This window comes from Homo sapiens, chromosome 3 (assembly GCF_000001405.40).
Source record: "Homo sapiens chromosome 3, GRCh38.p14 Primary Assembly".
In the NCBI taxonomy this organism is placed as follows: domain Eukaryota; kingdom Metazoa; phylum Chordata; class Mammalia; order Primates; family Hominidae; genus Homo; species Homo sapiens.
The window spans coordinates 130210650-130231805 of record NC_000003.12 but is presented as its reverse complement, the minus strand read 5'-3'; the positions used below and the strand labels follow the sequence as shown (position 1 = coordinate 130231805).

At 38.8% G+C, this 21156-nt stretch overlaps 1 pseudogene across 1 annotated transcript in view; it reads right to left on the bottom strand.

The window, feature by feature from the left end:
- COL6A4P2 (collagen type VI alpha 4 pseudogene 2) overlaps window positions 1-18986 on the bottom strand; it is a 60987-nt pseudogene extending 42001 nt beyond the window's left edge. Inside the window, exons 1-8 of the transcript NR_027898.1 lie at window positions 18912-18986; window positions 17564-17590; window positions 16093-16134; window positions 13484-13537; window positions 10367-10429; window positions 9952-10017; window positions 3737-3790; window positions 3584-3619 (exon numbers count right to left, since the gene is read on the bottom strand). The product of NR_027898.1 is annotated as a collagen type VI alpha 4 pseudogene 2 (transcript). The remainder of the gene's footprint in view (window positions 1-3583; window positions 3620-3736; window positions 3791-9951; window positions 10018-10366; window positions 10430-13483; window positions 13538-16092; window positions 16135-17563; window positions 17591-18911) is intronic.
- Window positions 18987-21156: the final 2170 nt, after the last annotated feature.

Genomic DNA, 21156 nt, shown 5'->3' with positions numbered 1-21156 from the left:
ACTTCTCCATTCCCTCTTTATTTTTCTCCTGTAAAATGAGGATAATAACTTCCCTCCCATTGAAGAATTAAATTAGTTAATACAAGTGCTTTAGACAGTGTCTAGAACATAGAGGTCAATAAATATTAGCTATTGTGGTTTAATCTTTTCAGAAAAGGGGCTATACAATTTTCTTTGGGAGGCCCTGGAAAGGAGGCATCCAAAGCCATTCTGATTTATGTTAAATTATTATCAAACAATAAGTTAAAATTTCAAACAAATATCCTTCAGCACTAAAACCAAGCTCCCAGATACAACCTGTGAGCCTGGATACCCAAGCTCTCCTTGGTAACCCTGTTCACCAGATTCTCCAGGCACACCCTGTCAAAATGAATAAAACTTATAGTGAGTTCACCAGCCATCTTTAGTGTTCTTATTGAAAGCAGCTTTTCCTGCAATATATCACTTGAAACCACAAGAGAAAGACTCAAACAAGATTGGACTGGTTGTGATCAATCCTCTTAGGAGATGAAGTTGAAGGGGAAATGTGGGTATTTACACTTATCTTGGGAAAAGGCAAGACCAGATTCTTAAGGCCTTTCCCAGTCTTTGCACATCTCCTTCCAATGTCTCAGCTAGTGATGGGAGCAAAAATACTTTGTTTAAATAACCCAAATTCGTATTTTGTGTAATAACTGGTTCCTAAACAGTCCTTCCTTTTAAGGCATACAGACTAAACGTTCAAGGGCATTAAGGTCTTTTATTTCATACAAGGAAACTCAGAATGTTGATCACAACAATAAACATGACACTCTGAGACAAAGGCACAAAAAGTGCTTGGGAAAATAACAGGAAAGTGGCTTTAAAACCCTACAGACCTTGATGGCAAGAAGCTAGCTCTCTAGGCAAAGGATGAGTTGTTAAAATGATTCATTCTATAACTGATTTAATTTATCCCACAAATTAATATTTTCATTTCTCAGAGAAGATATGTTTTCCAAGATTGAGGATAACATCCATTTTGTGAATTGTTCTGCCTTCTTTTTCATGTTGCTCACATGTTGACTAGATTATTAATTATTCATAGATATGCAAAGAGCAAAAACTTCAAAGTCAGAATTTAATAAATATGTGGATCAATTACTTGTGCTTCATCAGTTTTTGAAACTATTCAGTACTTCTATTAATCATTCCTGTTATGTTATTCTGCTCTTTAAGAGTTGATTTCTAGATTTATAAATATGAACCAAATTTTAAAAGGAATACAGCTAGAAATTTTGAACCAGGTTATGAAATGTGGTCTAATTTGCATATCACATTAGTGATATTCATAGTGCAACATTTATAAAAACAATGTGGCTATATATAGCAATGTTCAGACTCTATCATAACTCTATGCTTATACATTTATATTAAGAAAATAATATGAGTGGAGCAAAAGTGAAAACAAAACAAAAAACCTATAATACACGTCACTGACGTTCTTCACATCAATTACCACGATACCCAACAAAACAGAAATTACCTAAATGCTCAACATAAGAAAGATTAGTAAATCATGGTACTTCAATAGAGTAAAACATAATGTTCTAAAATGATAATAGGGAGATTTGGAAACAGGAAAAAGCAGAATATAAAATGTTATCTACATTATAATAATCCTTTATTTTTTATACAAGAGAACAGAAAAACATGAAAATACTTGCCGAGGGGTGGTGGGTTTATGTACCTTTAAAAAAATTAATAACATTCTCAATTTTATCATAAACAGCAAGTTTAAAATCTTGCCTTATTGCCAAAAAAGGAATGCATCAATTTGTTTGGCATAAATATAACCTTTTCCATAAATAAAATTATACTTAGAATTCCACTTTATTATACATCTTGCAAAGGCCAGCAGATCTAATTTTGTAGATAATACTGAGCCAGATTTTCCCAAAGTCCAAGGAATGCTGTAATTTGGAGTTATGAGCCTATATGACCAGTGCTCCAATGTTGAGTCAACTAGCAAACCACTGACATGGTGGATAAACCCAGTTCATCCTGAAGCCTGAAAATATTTGTAACTATATCTCTTATTTTAAAAATCAACTACACTATAAGGCCATAGTCAGCAAAACAGCATGGTACTGGTATAAAAATAGGCATATAGAGCAATGAAACAGAAATAAATGAAATAAATAATAGAAATGAAAGTCCTACTCTAAGATATTAGGATATTAGCTTCTTTTCAATCTAAATGAAACATTATAGCAAGGTGGGGAGGAGGCAGAGAACCATATAAACTTTCCCTTTTTCATGAAAAAAATCGCCATGGAAACTTTCAATGAACCTCATGCAACCTCAGACAGCCCAGCCGGCACTCTCCTTGACCTCAGAGAGAACAATTTAAAGAAGCCATAAAAGATAGACAAATGGGACTATATTAAACAAAAATCTTCTGAACCGAAAAAAAAAAAAAAACAATGAGCAGAGTGAAGAGACAACCTGTTGAATGGGAGGAAATACATGCAAACTATTCACCTGACAACGGACTAATATCTAGCATATACAAGGAACAAACAACTCAATTGCAAAAAAAAAAAAGCAATCCCATTAAAAAATGGGCAAAATATCTGAACTGACATTTCTCAAAAGACATACAAATGGCCAATAGGTATATGAAAAAATGTTTAACATCACTGATGATGAAAACCACAATGAGATATTATCTTATCCCAGTTAAATAGTTTTTATCAAAAATGCAAAAAACAACAAATGCTAGCAAAGATGCAGAGAAAAGGGATACATATTTTTGGTAAGAATATAAGTTCGTACAGTCATTATGGAAAACAATATAGAGATTTCCCAAAAAGTTAAAAATGGAACTACTATATGATCCACAAATCCCACTAATGGGCATTTACCCAAAGAAAAGAAAGTCAGTATATCAAAGGGTTACCTGCACCCCATGCTTATTGCAGCACTATTCACAATAGCAAACATGTGGAATCAACCTAAGTTTCCACCAACAGATGAGCAGATAAAGAAAATGTGATACATACACACAGTGAAATAAAAGTCAGCCATAAAGGAGAATGAAATCCTGTTATTGGCAGCAACATGGATGGAACTAAAAGTCATTATGTTGAATGGAATAAGTCAGGCACAGAAAGACAAACATCACAAGTTCTGTCTCACATGTGGGAGCTAAAACAGTTGATCTCATGAGGTAGAGAGTAGAATGACAGTTATCAGAGGCTGAGAAGGGGGGTTGAGGGTAGGGAGAATGAAAAGAGGTTGGTTAATGCGTAAAACATACAGTCACATAGAAGGAATAAGTTCTAGTGTTTGATAGTACAGTAGGGTGACTATAGTTAACAACAATATATTGTACATTTCAAAATAGCTAGAAAAGAATATTTGAAATGTTGCTAATATAAAGAAATAATAAATGTTTGAGGTGATAGATATCCTAAATACCCTGGTGTGATCATTATATGTTCTATGTATGTATCAAAATATCACATGTACCCCATAAATATGTGCAGATATTATGTATCAATAATAAATACAGTAGTCATATGTGTGGAACAAAGAGCAACTCTTTCCAGAAAGCACTGACCTTTAATCCTGGCAGACCTCGCCTTCCTATTGTCCCCTAAGAAAAATGGAAAGCAGAGACCTTAGAGAAGGATATAAACCAATTTTCACCCCAGCCTACCATCCTCTTCCACAAACGCAGGGGAAATACATCCCTCCAGCTGTTAACACCTACCCAAGGGCCGACATTTCCAGTTTCTCCCTGAGGTCCATCAACATTAGAACTTCCCTGAAAAGTAAGAAATAAAGGGAAGATCAGAAACAAACAACAACAAACGCTAGCAAAACTTTTTGTCCAATACAGAAGGCACTAGGTAGATGTAGCACTTAAATTCGCACCAAATTAAAGATGTAGTTTCTTTGTTATGCTGACCACATTCCAAGTGTTCCATAATTCCATATGGCTAGTGGCTACCACATTGGACGGTACAGACACAGGATATTTCCATGATCTCAGAATGTTCTGTTGGTCAGTGCTCCTCAAGAAGCAAATGGCATTAAATGCTGATGTTTCAAAATATCAGTGTTGTAGGCATCTTTCCCCAGAGATTGTTCCTTTGATGACTCCTCACAGTTCATCACGCTGGGAACACAGCCATGCTTAATATTTGAAAATATTGGCACTTCTCTTTCTACCTGTATCATTTAGGGTCCTGAGTGGCAGATAGAAACAGAAGGTAGAAAAGCGTCTCTCTGAAGACATGGGTGATCAATATATACAGATGCTGACAGAGAGAGAAAGAGGTTATATAGTCACAGTGAGGAAAGAGTCTAGTGTTCTCATTTCTTTGGGGTCAGAAGTGGAAAAATGAGTATTGTCCAGAGAAAAAAATGAGTCTATCTTTTAAGAAAAATGGAAACCATGTGGGATCCCAAGTAGGGGTACCTCAGATAATTATTTCATAAAGTTACATGCTAACTCAATAGGAATACATAAATAGGGAAAGAGTGTGAAATAACAGAAACAAAAACGTTTTGTGCAAAGCTGTTCACCCAACTGTTATTCATAATAGATTAAATTCTGAAACAATTTAAACATCCCACAACATGAGGGAAGTGTTGATCAAATTATGGCAGAAACACTTATTGAAATAGAATGCAACAATTAAAAACTATGTTTTTCAAAAGTTTTTAAAGTACATAAAAGTTTGTGCTATAATACCAAAAGTATTTAGCCTGAATCTAGTTATGGGAAAACAATCATACAAATCCTAATTGAGGGGTGTTTAGCAAAATAACTGGTGTACAGTGTCAGTGTCATGTAAACAAATAACTGAGCAAATGTGATGAAAGGGCACTGACGACACAGGACAACTAAAGGCACCGCATAGTCCTCAGCTGGATCCTGGAACAACAGCAGCAGCCACAGAGGACATTATTGGGGTGCTACGGACTCAAGGTTTGTGTTCCCCTAAAATTCATATGTTGAAATCCTAATCCCCAATGTGATGGTATGAGGAGGTGGGGCCTTTGGAAGGTTATTAGGCTATGAGGGGGGAACCCTCATGGTGGGATTAATGCCCTTATAAAAGAGGCTTGAAGGAACACTATAGCTCTCCTTCTGCCATGTGAGGTTGCAGCCAAGAAGATGGCTATGAACCAGGAAGCAGTCCCTCACCAAACACTGAATCTTCCAGGACCTTGATTTCGGACTTCCCAGCTTCCAGGACTATGAGAAATAAATGTTTGTTATTTAAGCCACCCACTCTATTAATTCTGTTACAGTAGCCCAAACTGCCTAAGACATGGGGCAAGTGGGAAAATTTGAATATGGACTGTGTATTAGAAAATAATATTGGCTGGGCACAGTGGCTCACGCCTGTAATCCCAGCACTTTGGGAGGCTGAGGCGGGCGGATCACTTGAGGTCAGGAGTTCGAGACCAGCCTGGCTAATATGGTGAAACCCCATCTGTACTAAAAATACAAAAATTAGCCAGTGTGTTGGCGGGTGCCTGTAATCCCAGCTGCTCTCGGCAGGAGAATCGTTGAACCCAGGAGACGGAAGTTACAGTGAGCCATTGCACTCCAGCCTGGGTGTCACAGTGAGACTCCATCTCAAAAAAAAAAAAAAGAAGAAAGAAAGAAAAGAATATTGTATAAATATTGAATTTCATGAGGGTGATGATTATATTATGTTTATATAGAAGAATATCCTTTTTCTTAACATATACTTGTTGAATATTTAGAGGCAAATTCTCATGAAGCCTTTAATTAATCCTCAATTAGCTCAGTTACACACACACAGACCCTTAAGTATTTGTATAAAGAGATATAAAGCAAATATAGCTAAAGGATAAAAATTGGTGTTTAGACTTACAACTACATTTTTCTGTAGATTTGAAATTTTTCAGAATGAAGAGGATAAAAAGTAACAGGTTCATCATGGACTATTTCAACAATACAGAGAATAAAATTAAGGTAAAGAAACACTAGGGGCTGGCATGTTGCTGCTACAAACAAGTTGGTTTTTCTCTCTCCTTTCACTTCCTTTCTTTCTTCCCTCCCTCCCTCCCCGTCCTTCCTTTCTTCCTTTCTACATTCCTTCTTTCTTACTTCTATTCCTTCCTTCTTATCTCTGTTTCTTTATTCCATACAAGGGAATAGATACAGGCTGGCAATTCCACAGCCTCCACCGTAAGTGAGCTGAAGGACAAACCCAGTTCTACCAAATACTGAAAAAAGTTGTAACCCACTCCTTCTGAAGGAACTGAGGGTGCTGACAATGGACACTGTGTCCCATGTAAAGTGCACGCACTCTCAGCCATAAAAGAGAACCAAATTATGTCCTTTGCAGCAACATGGATGCAGCTGGAGGCCATTATCCTAAATGAACTAATGCAAAAATAGAAAACCAAATACCACATGTTCTCACTTATAAGTGGGAGTTAAATCTTGGGTTCACACAGACATAAAGATGGGAACAATAGACACAGGGGACTCTGAAAGGGGAGGGAGGAGTGGGGCAAGGAGTGAAAATCTTCCTATTGGGTACTATGTTTACTACTTTGGTGACGGAAGCCCAAACCTCAGTACCATGCAATATACCCTTGTAACAAACCTGTACATTATCCCCTGAATCTAAAATAAAAATCGAAATTAATAAAAAAGAAATACACAATTTTGGCAATATAGAAATATTCTACAAATTTGGACTCAGGTTAAATACAGGGTTGCAACCTGCTTTTTTCACTTGATATTACATCATGGATGTTTTCCATATCATGAAATCATCTTCTACATTATGTTTCATGGCCTAATACTATTCCACTGTGTGGAAGAGCATTGTTTACATAAATATTCCTTTATTATTAGATATTTAAATATTTTCAATGTTTTACTACCTTAAAAATCACTGCAATGACCATCCTTGGAGCTAAATCTTTGTGTTGCACCATGATTAGCGTACAGATAAATTTCTAGGACTAGAAAGGGTAGATCAAATTACATACACATCCTTTTATTTTTATTATTTTTATTTTTTTAATTTTTTTTTTTTTTGAGACAGAGTCTCGCTCTGTCACCCATGCTGGAGTGCAGTGGTGTGATCTCTGCTCACTGCAAGCTCCACCTCCCGGGTTCACGCCATTCTCCTGCCTCAGCCTCCCGAGTAGCTGGGACTATGGGTGCCAGCCACCACGCCCGGCTATTTTTTTGTATTTTTAGTAGAGATGGGGTTTCACCGTGTTAGCCAGGATGGTCTCGATCTCCTGACCTCGTGATCTGCCTGCCTTGGCCTCCCAAAGTGCTGGGATTACAGGTGTGAGCCACCATGCCCAGCCGACATACACATCTTAAAGCTGTGGCAGACTCAGTTGGTGGCCTACAAAACAGGCCCTCCCTTCCTCTGTGCTAAGAAAATCTGGTCTTTTTAGTTTTGTTTGGAGCAACGACATACCCAGCTCCAGGGGATGAACAGGCCTAAGCCAACTGTGATGATCCCATTTCCTTTTGTTAGAGACTTGCTTTCTCTGGATCTCTTGAAATGGGGCAAGGGCTGTTGGGGAGCACAGGGTCTATTTTAGCTAATGAGCTATAAAGAGAATATTGCTGGGAGTAATTTGATGAAAGGAAAGCCCCTTTTCTCCTGACATTTTATGTAAAGGTGAAGACAAAAAAACACTTGGAGCTGCTAAACCTAGGGACCGAAAGCTGACACGTTGAGGATGGCAGTGTGGGAGGAAAGGCGCCGGGTCCCTGACGACATCACTGAGGTTCGATGGGACCATAAACTGATGTGCCAAAGTTGTCATCACCTATCCCTGGGTTATAAAACACATTTATTAGCTAAACACTGCTAGTCAGGCTTTCATTGGTATATTTAAAAACATTAAAAAAAAAAAAAAACCAGTAATCCTAACTGATGACTGATGTGCATTGCCTATTGCCTCCCGAAAAGGTTGTATTGACTTTCATTCTCCCCAGAAGTGTTACTTTCTCACTTCTGACTGGTATGATTGGCTCTCCACGCTTTCTCCAATATTAGGTATATAATAAAATTATTCTGCTTGGTCAGAAAGACTGCTTCATCAGGAAAACCTCTCCATCCAGACTGCAACATTTAAGCCACTCTTTGGTTCATGTCAGAAAGGAGCCGTTGCCCCCTAGAGAGCTATCTCCCAACAGCACTTAACAGGCTAGAACAGGGGTGTCCAATCTTTTGGCTTCTCTGGGCCACATTGGAGGAAGAAGAATTGTCTTGGGCCACACATAAAATACACTAACACTAACAATAGCTGATAAGCTTTAAAAAAAAAAAGAAAGAAAGAAAGAAAGAAAAGAAAAAGAAGAGAAGAGAAAAAAATCTCATAATGTTTTAGGAAAGTTTACAAATTGTGTTGGGCTGCATTCAAAGCCATCCTGGGCCACATACTGCCCATGGGCAGTGAATTGGACAAGCTCAGGCTAGAATGTCAGCATCTACCAGCTTCAGGGTAATATAGCTGGTGGGAGTGATTTCTGTTATCTAAGTCTATTCAAAGGATATTTAGTTACCACCGTTTTTTGGCCCAGCATGGGAGCAGAAACCATGGGGAACACAAATGGAATATGTCACAGCACTGCCCCAGAGGGTTACAATTTTTGTTTGCATGTACAAGTAGGGATCTGGTGATCAAGGTTAACCCTTGGCTAAACTCAGTGATGGAGACCTCAGAAAGCTGTGAACATGCGGCTCTTGCTGTGTCTGCAGTGCTCTGATGTACACAGCACTGGACAGTTTGTCTAGAGGCCTAGGTTCCTTCCCAGCAGTAAAACCTTGAGCAAATAAGAGAACCAGTCTGAATAGACAGATCATGATCTTTCTTCTCACAACAACCACAACTCATGGAAGCTTTGAAATGGTTTCTCTATCTTCCTTCCCTCCTTCCAGATGAAACCGGGGCCCACATGGGTTAAGGGTTGCTGTCCTGCTGCTCCCTTAGCTCAGTTCCATAGCCGATTGAGTGGCTGTTCACAGGGCTCTCTGATGTCAACTCACCACAGGACACCCTCTCAATGGGGTTTGTCCAAAACAACTGCAATTAACAACAGGATGAGATTCTTGCAGCAAGTCATGCTGGTTTTCTCACACAGCAACATAATAATCATCTTGTTACAAACTGCATTTAACTCAGGATCTAGACATATGTAAAAGGAATGCAAACTAGCTACAGAAGAGAGCCAATGTCCTATAATTTTGTCAAAGGATGAAAAACTGGAGTTCAAAGTAATAGAGGTTCCTCTCTAGCTGCAAACGTTTCTCTATGCAGACCTCATGCCTGGAAATTAGGGAAGATATGAGGACTGAAGCACTTGGGTTATTTTAGTCATTTTTCAGAATCATACATTTTAATGTCTGGGACATGAAAATCTAAAAATGGCTGCCAAGAAGTTAACATCGATCAAAGTTAACAAGTCTTTTTGCTTCTGTGATGCCTTCTATCACAATGCTTCTAGTTTTCAGAACTAGGCAAGGATTTCACCTTAAAAAATGGCTAATACCCAGTTCACATCAATCAGCACTGGCTGTGACAGAAAGCAAGCCAGCACTGTAATGACCCTGAGTACCTTCTAAATCAATACATCATTATAAAGATAGAGAATTTAGAAACCAGAAATATCTTAGGCATTATTGAGTCTGGTGCTTTCATTTTGGAGATGAGGAAACCAAGGACAAAAGATGTAATGTTGTAGGAGAAAGGATTCGTATAGAAAAAAACAACTATGAATTAAGTATGCAAGGACGAGGATGTCAGTGGAGATTGGCATTCAGAGCTTCTATCTCCATAGACAGTGGATTCCCACAGGCTTGCTCTCTGGTTTTTTATGCTGATCCTACCGGAATGCCCAAGTCCTCTGCCCCAGCTAGCATCCGTTCCCATGTAGCCCCTCAAGGAAACAGAACATCTTACCTGACGCCCACGCCTTCCTTTTTCTCCCTTAGGGCCTTGGATATAGCTATTAGTTCCAGGATCCCCCTGAGAAAATAAAGGGTTCATTACCTCAAATGGACAGAAAAGAAATTATAGGAAGAATTATTTAAAACAAAACAAAACAAAAAAATAAGGTACAACTAAAGTGGACCCTTTTTATTGTCTGGGCCTGCTCAAAAATCTTAGACTTTTAATCCAATTAAAATTCCAACCTTTTTAAGAACTCAACTTTTCTATAAGTTTTCCCTCAAATCTTTTATTTGTTGCAATACTAAGATAGGGTGAGCAGATGCTTTATTAATGAATAATTAATTGCTCGTTGCCTTTGTGTCACGAGCAAACAGTTCTCCAGTCCCTGGAATTAAAGCAGCAGAAATCCCCCAACATCACTCACAGGATCTCCCCTTAACCCAGGCTCTCCACGCTCTCCAGGTTGTCCTGGCAGTCCCGTCAAGCCCTTAAATCACAAAGAAAAAATGTGTCACTTTTAAAAATCACATATTGCCTAGAGAGAAGAGAACATTAAGAGCGAAAATAAGAATCAAATGAAAAGAGCAACTTAGTACTTGAATTTTAAAGCATTCACTGCCAAGGGGGTGAGATTGAAAGGTAAAGAAGGACATACTTTTATTGGCTATCTGCCATATGCTTGGACCTAGATGTGTATTACCTCATTTAGCCCTCACAACTCAGGAATTCACCAATTTGCATTATGCAGGACCTGAGATTCTAGGAAGTTGGGCCCAGGTCTCCCTATCATCAAATTCCTTGATCTTTCCACCCTTTGGTGGTGCTCCACACAGAAACACATGTTGTTGTTGCTGTTGTTGTTGCTTAAAAAGGGGGTGGTGGTGAGAAGGGCTTTCTCCATCATGAGCATGGGCAGCAGCGGTAGAGCAAGGTCTCACGAAAAAGAGAAAGGAGAGAACAATGTTTCCAGAGCTCCCGACTACTGCAGATAGGAAAACAGAGGGGTGAAGAAACTTGCCATAGGACTATGACAAGTAAATGATGCTTCTCTTAAATGCTGCCATGATCTGTGCCATTCCTGTGTCGTAGCGCCCACAGAGCCATGAACTGGGGAGAGGCTCCACCACAGGTGCCTTCCTCAGACGACATCACATGCCTGGAGCCGGAGGGTGTGCATGATTAACAGATGGGATCACTGTTCTAGCTTTCAGACACAAAGGAAATAAAATGTTCTCTAGACTCCAAAAGAAGCCACTTCATAATCTTACTTGAGATGCCTCCTTATCTCTTTCCTGGCCTAATATAATGGTAAAAGGGAGCTAGATAACTGTAGATTCCAATCCTGCTATTTAATTTCCTACATTGGTAAATTTCTTTGACTTTTCTCAGACTCCATTTTCTCATTTGTGAAACAGATGTGCCTAACTTATAGAAACAGTGTAGGGATTAAATAGAAGAATAAATTCAACTGTTTAGGCATATGGTTCCTATTATGATTCACCCTACTTCTAGACCCTCCTTTATCTGACCCAGTCACTGGACTTTCAGAGTAATCTTCCAAACCTACAGCTTCCAACATGTGTCTTCCTTGCCTATAAACCTTCAATAGCCCTTGATAACTCAGTAGAAACAAAACTCCCAAAAGTAGCATTAAACTGGCTCCAAATTGCCCTTTCAGGCTTTCTCCCCACTCTTTATACTTTTTATTTTATCCTCCACTCCTATGAAATTAGGATCCTTATTTTTCCAGACCTACCCTGATTTCTTCTAACTCTAACCTTTTCCTTGAGCCCTTTTCTTAAACTAGAATACCCTGTGTCTCTCTCCCAGTCCCTCTCACAGAGGTCTGAGTGAAAAATGTCTTGATTTCCTGCATTTTCTGGAAAGCCGGAGTCCTCTCCACCCTTCAGCACCTGCTCATATAGAAGTTGTTCTCTTGCCCCCCTCTCTCTTCCTTAACTGTTACCTATCTTTTAAATTTCATCCCATCTCCTCCTCAATGAAGCCTTTCTGACTACACAGGCTGGGTCAAATCCCCTGTCGTATTCCTTTCCATACCTTTATCTCTGCAGTAATATTATATCTATTTCTGTGATTATTTCATTCATGTCTATCTTTTTCCATAGAGGCCAATCCTAAGAGATAGAGCCCATGTCTCTTTTGTTCCCCATTCTAGAATCATGCCTTGATTACAATAGATGCTCAATAAATTTTGATGATTGATCAAGTGAAGAAAAGGGAATCTATTTTCGTTTCCTCTCCAAGTCACTGTGCTCCCATTCATTCTTTATTTGCAGCATTGTTACATCCTGTAGCTTATCCTATCTCATATTATAGTTTTTCCTGTACCAGTTGTATCTCCTGCACACTCAATAAGCTCTTTGTTGGTCAGAGCCATGGCTTATGTATCTTGGAACCCTTTTTTGTATCTAGCAAATGTCCCACATGTAGGGACAATAAACACTTGACAGGTGTTTATTGAATTTAACTAAATTTAGCTGAAACTGAAGGCTCTCCAGTGTTAAGAAAGTATGGTATCTCCCACCTTCTCCAAAGTCTGATCCATAAACTTCAAGTTAGAAATTAAACCTCAATAAAGAGCCATGTCTTCTGACTCTCCCTGTTTCACCTATCAGGAATTCAATCCACAACACTAATTGTGCACCTTTGGAGTAAAAGCATTACTCCAATTTCATGAGGAGTACAAAGAAGCATAAGCAAATAAATTACACCCTTTATGTCTAATCCTATCAATCAATAGAAGCTGATTATAGTACTGTGTTAAGATGGATCCTTCAGCCATGTTGGATCCCATAAATGGTTAGTATGTCTGCCATGGGCACAGGAAGGGAGGGTTGTGGGACATATGCTAGGTATCTGCCATCCCTTACATGGAAACAGAATTACCATCAGGAGGAAGTGTGTAATCACTGTCAAACAGATAGTACAAATAATTGCAAGGATGTAGAGAAGGCAAAGATCACTACAAACTGACATGCCAAGGAAGCTGTTGTGAGGAAGAAAGAGAGGAACTGGGCCCATTGAGGAAAAGGTGATATTCAGATTAAGCACTGAATATGGAACCAAGAAAAAGGCATTCCAGGAGAGGCAGCTGGCATGAGCAAAGACACAGAGGTGGGCATGCATAAGCAACATTTCAGAGACAGTGAGCCTAGGAAGACATTTCTTGACAGAGATTTGTAAAGAATGTGGTTGAAAGGCCTTGGATGTAACACTAAATCATCGGTGACAGGGAGCCATGAGAAGCTTGTGAGATGGGGAGTGACATGATCACTGTTCTCAATCACAAAATGTTAAGTCACAGGACTTACTTTACTCATTCTACCATCAGCAGAGTCAGATCTTAGGTGAAGCTTCCAAACAGCTATCTCATATTAATTGCCCTTTAACTCTCCATTTAACTCCATAGGGTTTAAGCCACTAGATGATTTTTTTTTCCCACAGTTTCCCACAGTTTAAAAATAAACTATCCATATCAGGTTACTCAACAGGAAAATGAAAGAATATCATCATACTTTACCCGATTTCCCCTATTTCCTTTTTCTCCAGATGACCCTGGGATTCCGTGATTACCCTAAAAAAAGAAAAATGAACATACAGAGAGCCTGCCTTTTATTAGTCCCACCAAAATTTTTCTTTATGTATTTTCACAATTCTAGCCAAGAGTAGAAAGTACCTTTACTACTCTATTTCTGACAATGTGACAGATTAGATGTTTTGAATAACCCTGCCACTGAAAATTTAAAATTCCAGATAAATTAAAATATATTTTGTATGCATTAAAAATCTGATTTAAGGCTGGGTGCGGTGGCTCAGGCCTGTAATCCCAGCACTTTGGGAGGCCAAGGCAGGTGGATCACCTGAGGCTGGGAGTTCGAGACCAGCCTGACCAACATGAAGCAACCCTGTCTCTACTAAAAATACAAAATTAGTCGGGCATGGTGGCACATGCCTGTAGTCCCAGCTACTCAAGAGGCTGAGGCAGGAGAATCACTTGAACCCGGAAGGTGGAGGTTACAGTGAGCCAAGATCACGCCATTGCACTCCAGCCTGGGCAACAAGAGCAAAACTCCATCTCAAAAAAAAAAATCTGATTTAAAAAATCCTTATGGTTCATAATAAAGAGAAAGCAAAATTGCAGACAAGTAATAGCTCATGGCTGTCCTGAGGGCTTCTTGTAATTGTGTGTGTGTGTGGTGTGTGCCGTGTGTGTGTGTGTGTGTGGTGTGAAGGGCCTCAAACTTACAATTTATTTTAGGGTGGTCCCAGAACGTAGTGCCACTAGGAACACATGACAGAAGCAAACAACCTCAACTCAGGCCCTAATGATGTCTCACAGATAACATTCCATCAAAAAATGAGTTTAAATCAAAAGTCACAACACACATGAGGGAGATGCCATGAAGGAGAAGCCAGCAGAAACAACACACAACAAAATCGGACCTGCAGTGACTGCAAATATTGGGATTATAATATACTGAATATAAAATGAGTATATTTAGTATGTTTAAATAATTAGAAGAGAATGAATAAAATAACAAACTATGAAAGGAGACCAAGTAGATTTCAGAAAGGATCAAATAGAACTACTTGAAGTGAAAAATATAATTAAAATTAAAAATTCAATTGACAAATTAGATATTATATTAAATGCAAGTGAGGTGAGAATTAGTGAACTAGAAACTGAAGAAATTATACAGAATGCAGCACAGAATGACAAAGAAATAGAAATACAAAAGAGCAGTTAAGACATATTGGGGACAAAATGAGAAGTTTTCACAAATTTCTAATTAGATTTCTGCAAAGAAATAATACAGAAAATAGGAAAAATAAAATTTCAAAATGATAATTTCAAAATTAAGCACTGAAGATTTCCAAAATTTATAAGAAACATAAACAGTCAGATTCAAAAGACTGACAAGTCCTAAGCAGAATACATAAAAAGTAATCCACACCTGGACACATCATATTGAAACTGTCAAAAACTAAAATCAAAGGGAACATTTTAAAGCAGCCTTATACATTTTTTAAAGTTGCTTACAAAAGAACAATTATTTTGACAGATAACTTCTTTTTTTCTTTTTTTTTTCTTGAGACGGAGTCTCGCTCTGTCACCCAGCCTAGAGTGCAGTGGCGCAATCTCGGCTCACTGCAAGCTCTGCCTCCCGGGTTCACGCCATTCTCCTGCCTCAGCCTCCCAAGTAGTTGGGACTACAGGTGCCCACCACCACGCCTGGCTAATTTTTTTGTATTTTTAGTAGAGACGGGGTTTCACCATATTAGCCAGGATGGTCTGGATCTCCTAACCTCGTGATCCGCCCGCCCCAGCCTCCCAAAGTGCTGGGATTACAGGCGTGAGCCACCGCACCCGGCCAACAGATAACTTCTTAATGGCACTAATGAAAGGTAGAAGAAAATAGAAGCCAGAAGACTATGAAATTACATTTTCCTTTTTTCTAATACTCTGAGTTGGAGCACTTACGTATTTTTTCCAAGTCTTTTCTTTTTTTCTTTTTTATTATACTTTAAGTTCTGGGGTACATGTGCAGAATGTGCAGTTTTGTTACATAGGTATACACATGCCATGGTTGAAATTACATTTTCACAGTGCTGAGAGAAAGTAACCATCAACCAGAATTGCTTACCCAGTGAACTATCTTTCAAAGAGATTTTCAGGAAAACAAAAACAAGAAGAGTTTACAATGAACTGACCTTCATTAAAGGAAATTCTAAAAGTTGTGCCTTAAGCAAAAGAAACATGATTTTTTCATGTTCTTTTGAAGGTATCGATGACTACAAGGAAGGCATCAGTCAGATGAGTAAACATGAGGGTAAAGCTAGATAAGCATTGACTATATAAAACAACAATAAGAATGTGTAATCGGCAGAATTTAACAAAAACAAGATGGAAATAAAATACTAGACAATAATATGTAATATGGGAGGGAGTTGATTAAAGTTTCTAGAGTCCTTGTATTTTGAGGATGAGGAAAAATACAGAGATTAACATTAAACATTGTTGAGTATGCATGTTAAAAATTCTAGCTAGTCATGAAAAGCTGTACTCTCTACAAGAGTATAAATGCCAGGTTAATAGAGAGGAAGACATTAAATGAGAAACTTCTGCACCTGTTCTCCATGCAAGCCATCAACTCCCTCACCAGGGTTGCCCTGTGAAGCAAAGGAAGATCAGAATCTTAGAGACAAGAGAAACAGGTTTATGTGAATATTTCTTTGATGTTAATTTCCTTGCTAATATTTTTTCAATTGATACAGAATCTAGACTCTGTAACACTTATATACTGCACCCAGTTACTAAAAAGTAATGATTATTTTCTTCCTGAAACAGTTATTAGGGTTATATACTGTTTTACCTCATAGCTTCAGGTGCTAAAAATGTGTATGTATTTTTTAACCTCAAAATTTGAGTGGATAAGAGACTCCCTTTAAACTTTTGCACTTGGAACAAGTAGCTGTTTCACAAGACCAAATGAAACACTGGTTGTCGAATGCCAAAAATGGTCTTTTTGTCATTGACCTTCTTTAAAAAGATGGCAAATATGCCCAAATTAATCAATCTAATGGAAACCTGGTAGTTCACAGATTAAGGAGGAACTGAATGAGTGTGTGTGCATGTGTGTGCATTTTGGGAGATAAAATTTTAAAAAAGAAAGGAAGTGAAAAACTGAGGCTAATTAGGAGATAAGAGTAAAACTGGGCAGTGGCATGGTGACATCTCATCAAATATTCCATCACTTTCAAATTATGGGCCCTTCATTTTGCCAACTAACCCAAAATGACCAATAATATATTCATTATAAAGAATTTTTTAAAGAAAAAGCCAGAGTTTCACAAGCAAAATAAAATGCATTTGCATGTGTGAAATAGTTGATTTACGCCTGCTGTCTACAAAAGCAAATCAAGTTTCAGGCTTTTTTTTAACCAAAGCACAGCTGAGTTATACATAAAAATAAGTATACCGAACTCTTGGACTAGAATTACATGGCATATTTGCCACAGGCCGCAGAAGGTTAATCGATGGTACCAGAAAACATGAATAAGGAAGCTCCATGAGCCCTTGTGTGTCTTGTTCATCATTTTGTAACCACTCCCTAGGATAATGTGGGGAACAGAGTGGGTACCTAATAAATACTTTTTGAGTGAGTGAATCAGCAAATGGATGCTATGGTTCTGAATCTGAATGTAAATCATTCCCTTCTTGTGCCAACTCCTTTCCTAACAACCTCATCCCAGCATTCCTCTTCCATTTGACACCCACCTTGACCAGACCCAGCCCACCATACCCTGGATTCAGGACCAACACTTCTAGACCATCATGTGATGAATATGGTGGCCCAATTCTTATACAGAGTCAGCGAGGATTGCAAACAATATGTCACTGCCTTAAACCTGAAATACATGTCTTAAAAATAGTCACTCATTAGCATGGAAGTTTGGCTATTAATATCATCTGACAAATTCTCTTGTCTAAAAGTCTGAAGCCTCACCTCACTCAGGCAAAGAAATGCGATTGAAATAAGTATTGCATTTCCCAAAGAAACTGCTATCCAGTTTAAGAAGGATAAAGGAGATTACCTACCTTCTCTCCTGAAAATCCTCTTGCTCCCTAAAGTTAGAAAGAGATCATAAGAATTGAGCTTGAATGAGATTTTTAAGCCCTTGTTTCATTTAGGAAACCATATGTTCCCTGGTTTGAAGAAAATGCAATTACAATATTAGATCAAAATGAAGATGCCTTGTCTGGCAAATGTGGTGGGCATTACAACACCCTGGTTATTGCTACCCTCCTTTGCATGGAACCTGGAGAAAATTGCACTTTGCAGTTCCTCACATAGTAGGAATGAAAGGGAACAACAGTGGCCTACCTCTTATTAAAATGATGATATTTTTTCAAACAAAAGTGAGAATATATCGGCTAGCAAGCATGATAGGAGTTCAAGGAACAACAGGAAAAATGAATTGAAAGAGTAATTTGATAGGTATACAGAACATGGTCATTGTGGTTAGGAAAACTGTCTTTAGGATTCTTAGATTGTAGAATTTTTTTCTTTTAGTTTATTAAGGAAGATTCTCCAATCCTGGACAGTTGAGGGACATTTAATGCAACCAGCCAAAAATGTACCTGTATCCCTTTAGCCTTTAAAACTTTAGTGTTCTCACATAGACACAGGGAGGGGAACAACACACACTGGGGCCTCTGTCGGCGGATGGAGTTGGGGGAAGGAGAGCATCAGGAAAAATAGCTAATGCATGCAGGCCTTAATAGCTAGGTGATGGGTTGACAGGTGCAGCAAATCACCACGGCACACGTCTACCTATGTAACAAACCTGCACATCCTGCACATGTACCCCAGAACTTAAAATTAAAATAAAAACAAAAACAAAAAAAACTTTAGTGTTCTCAATCCTACTTCCAACCACCAGCACCTGTCACTCTTTTCTGAGGGTTTTTTCAGGGACCAGGGCCTGCTCTACCCACATGCAAGACAGACCCAAAGTGCTAGGAACTAATACCTCCTGGAAGCTGCTGTTAACTAATTCTTGATGGGATTTGGTGTATAAATACCACAGCTCCCTCATCCCTTAACTGGGGTACATTGAGATGCATGTTCAACTCTGGGTGCCAGAGTTCTTCAGTATGATTAAGCTCCATCTACCCACAGTGGTGATCTGATTTATAATGTACCCTTTTCAGGCCTCCTTTCCTCCTTATCTCACTTCTTTACTTCCCCACTAATGCTTACTAGAATTATCTCCCAGTAAAATACTTGCAATTGACTCTTTTTCTCAGGCTTTACTTCTGGAAAACCTTTAATCTGAGGGGGAGCTAAGACTCCATAGCTATGTTGAAGAGTTATGATTTTCCTCAAACTCAAGAGATGAAGCCAAGAAAGAGAAAGAATCCCACAGCTTAAGGTCACACTCACCTTAGGTCCCCTCATACCAGGGCATCCTTCCTCACCTCGGAGTCCAGGAAGACCTCAGGGGCCTCGTTCTCCCTGTGGAAGAAGAAGACACATGAATGCACTCAAGCAACTGTCTCTGTCAAAGCAATTGTTTAAAGTACAGGTCTTTTTCAAAATGGAGTCTCTTATGTCTTCCCTTTCTATGTAGACACAGTAACAGTCTGATCTCTCTTTCTTTTCCCTACATATCCCCCTTTTCGTTTTGACAAAACCACCACCATCATCATGGCCCCTTCTCTCTGGTCGGTCGCTGTCTCTCTGGAGCTGCTGGATACACCTGTAGACTAACAACAGAAAAGACAGACATACAAGGATTAATACAAAATTTGCAATAGTGGAATTTCCGGTGGTTTTAACCCAAGTGACGGGGGCAAGAGGACGGTGTGGGTGCTGCGGCACCCAGGCAGTCTCCCACCTCCTTTGTGTCTTAGTTGCTGTTTCTCATCGTTTTCAGTCTTTCTCCTCACCTGATGACTCGCACCTTTTATCTCTTTGTCTCCCTTCTCTTATGGTCTCTCTCTCTCTCTCTCTTTTACACTATCTCTCTCCCCAATCTCACTTTCTGTGTCTGTCTCTGATCTCTGTCTCTTTTTCTTTCTATTCTTCTCCCTGGCTCTCCACATGTGCCGTTTTCTTGGTGGATGGTAACTTCATCTGTTCTTCTGATATCACCATTTTGTTCACCCTGCGAGTCGATGATGCTTGATTGCGGGTTTTCTGTCTCTGCGGAGGCACTTTCATTTGCATCTCTGATGGGTTGATTGTAGAACTTCAAATGTCTAGTGGGTATCCAAACAGGAAGCTGATTTTCTCCTGGTGAAACACAAGCAAAACCTCTCCCCCATGTTATCACCTTACCTATTTCCCATGTTTTGTTTTTGTTGTCTTCCACCAAATCAGTTTTCCCTCATGTGGGCTGTTCTTTTTACCAGGAAAATGTTCTGCAGAAGTAGTGGTCTGATTTCTCTGTATGTTTAGAAAATTTAAAGTATAGAGTGTTAGATTAAGTTGCATCTGGGGAGTGTTATACTCCTTACTGTGTTTTTCCTTTTTTTGTTTAACCAATTGAGCTTTGAGTGTTCTAAGCAGGACAGGTAAGATCTGCATCTGGCACAGCCAGCCAGGTCTCCTTACCCTCTGCTTCCCTTTCTGCCTGTGACTGAATGGGTATGTCAGGGTCTAGTAGAGGATCCAGGAGGAGGAAGCCTCATTAACTTCTATTCTGCAGCAATTGATGGCCACCGAACTTGAACAGTGGGGGCTTATCACCTCATGTACTAAGACCGGAGATAGCTGATGCCAAGGTTGGCTAAATTAGTAGCTTGAGATGTTAGGTTTTTCATTTGAGGTTTCTATGCTGCTATTGTCTTCTGCTCTTGGTCACAGAGGCTGCCACAATCCGCATGTCAAGTCCTCATGTGACAATATCCAGAGACAACAAGGAAGAGGTACAGTGTATTCCTCCATGTTTCTTAAAAAAATGTTTTTGATAGAGAATAATTGTACACATTTGTGGGGTCCATGTGAGATTCTGGTACATGCATGCAATGTGTAATGATCAAATCAGGGTCTTTAGGATATTAATCACCTCAAACATTGATCATTTCTTTGTGTTGGGAATATTTCAAATCTTATTGCTATTTAGAAATATACAATAAATCCATTTATCAGGATACAAAATCTATGTACACAAATCAATAGCAGTGCTATACACCAACACCTACCAGGCTGAGAATCAAATCAAACCCTTTTATGATAGCTGTAAAAATAAAATACTTAGGAATATACCTAACCAAGGAGATGAAAGACCCCTACAAGGAAAACTACAAAACACTGTTGAAAGAAATCATAGATGAAACAAAAAAATGGAAACACATTCCATGCTCATGGATGGGTAGACTCAATATTGTGAAAATCACCATACTGCCAAAAGCAGTCTACAAATTCAATGCAATTCCTATCAATATACCATCATCATTCTTTATAGAACTGGAAAAAAATAATGCCAAAATTCAATTGGAACTAAAAAAGAGTCTGCACAGCCAAAGCAAAACTAAGCAAAAAGAACCGATCTAGAGGCATCACATTACCCAACTTCAAACTATATTACAAGGCTATAGTCACCAAAACAGCATGGTGCTGGTATAAAAATAGGCACATGACCAACGGGACAGAGTAGAGAAGCTAGAAATAAAGCCAAATACTT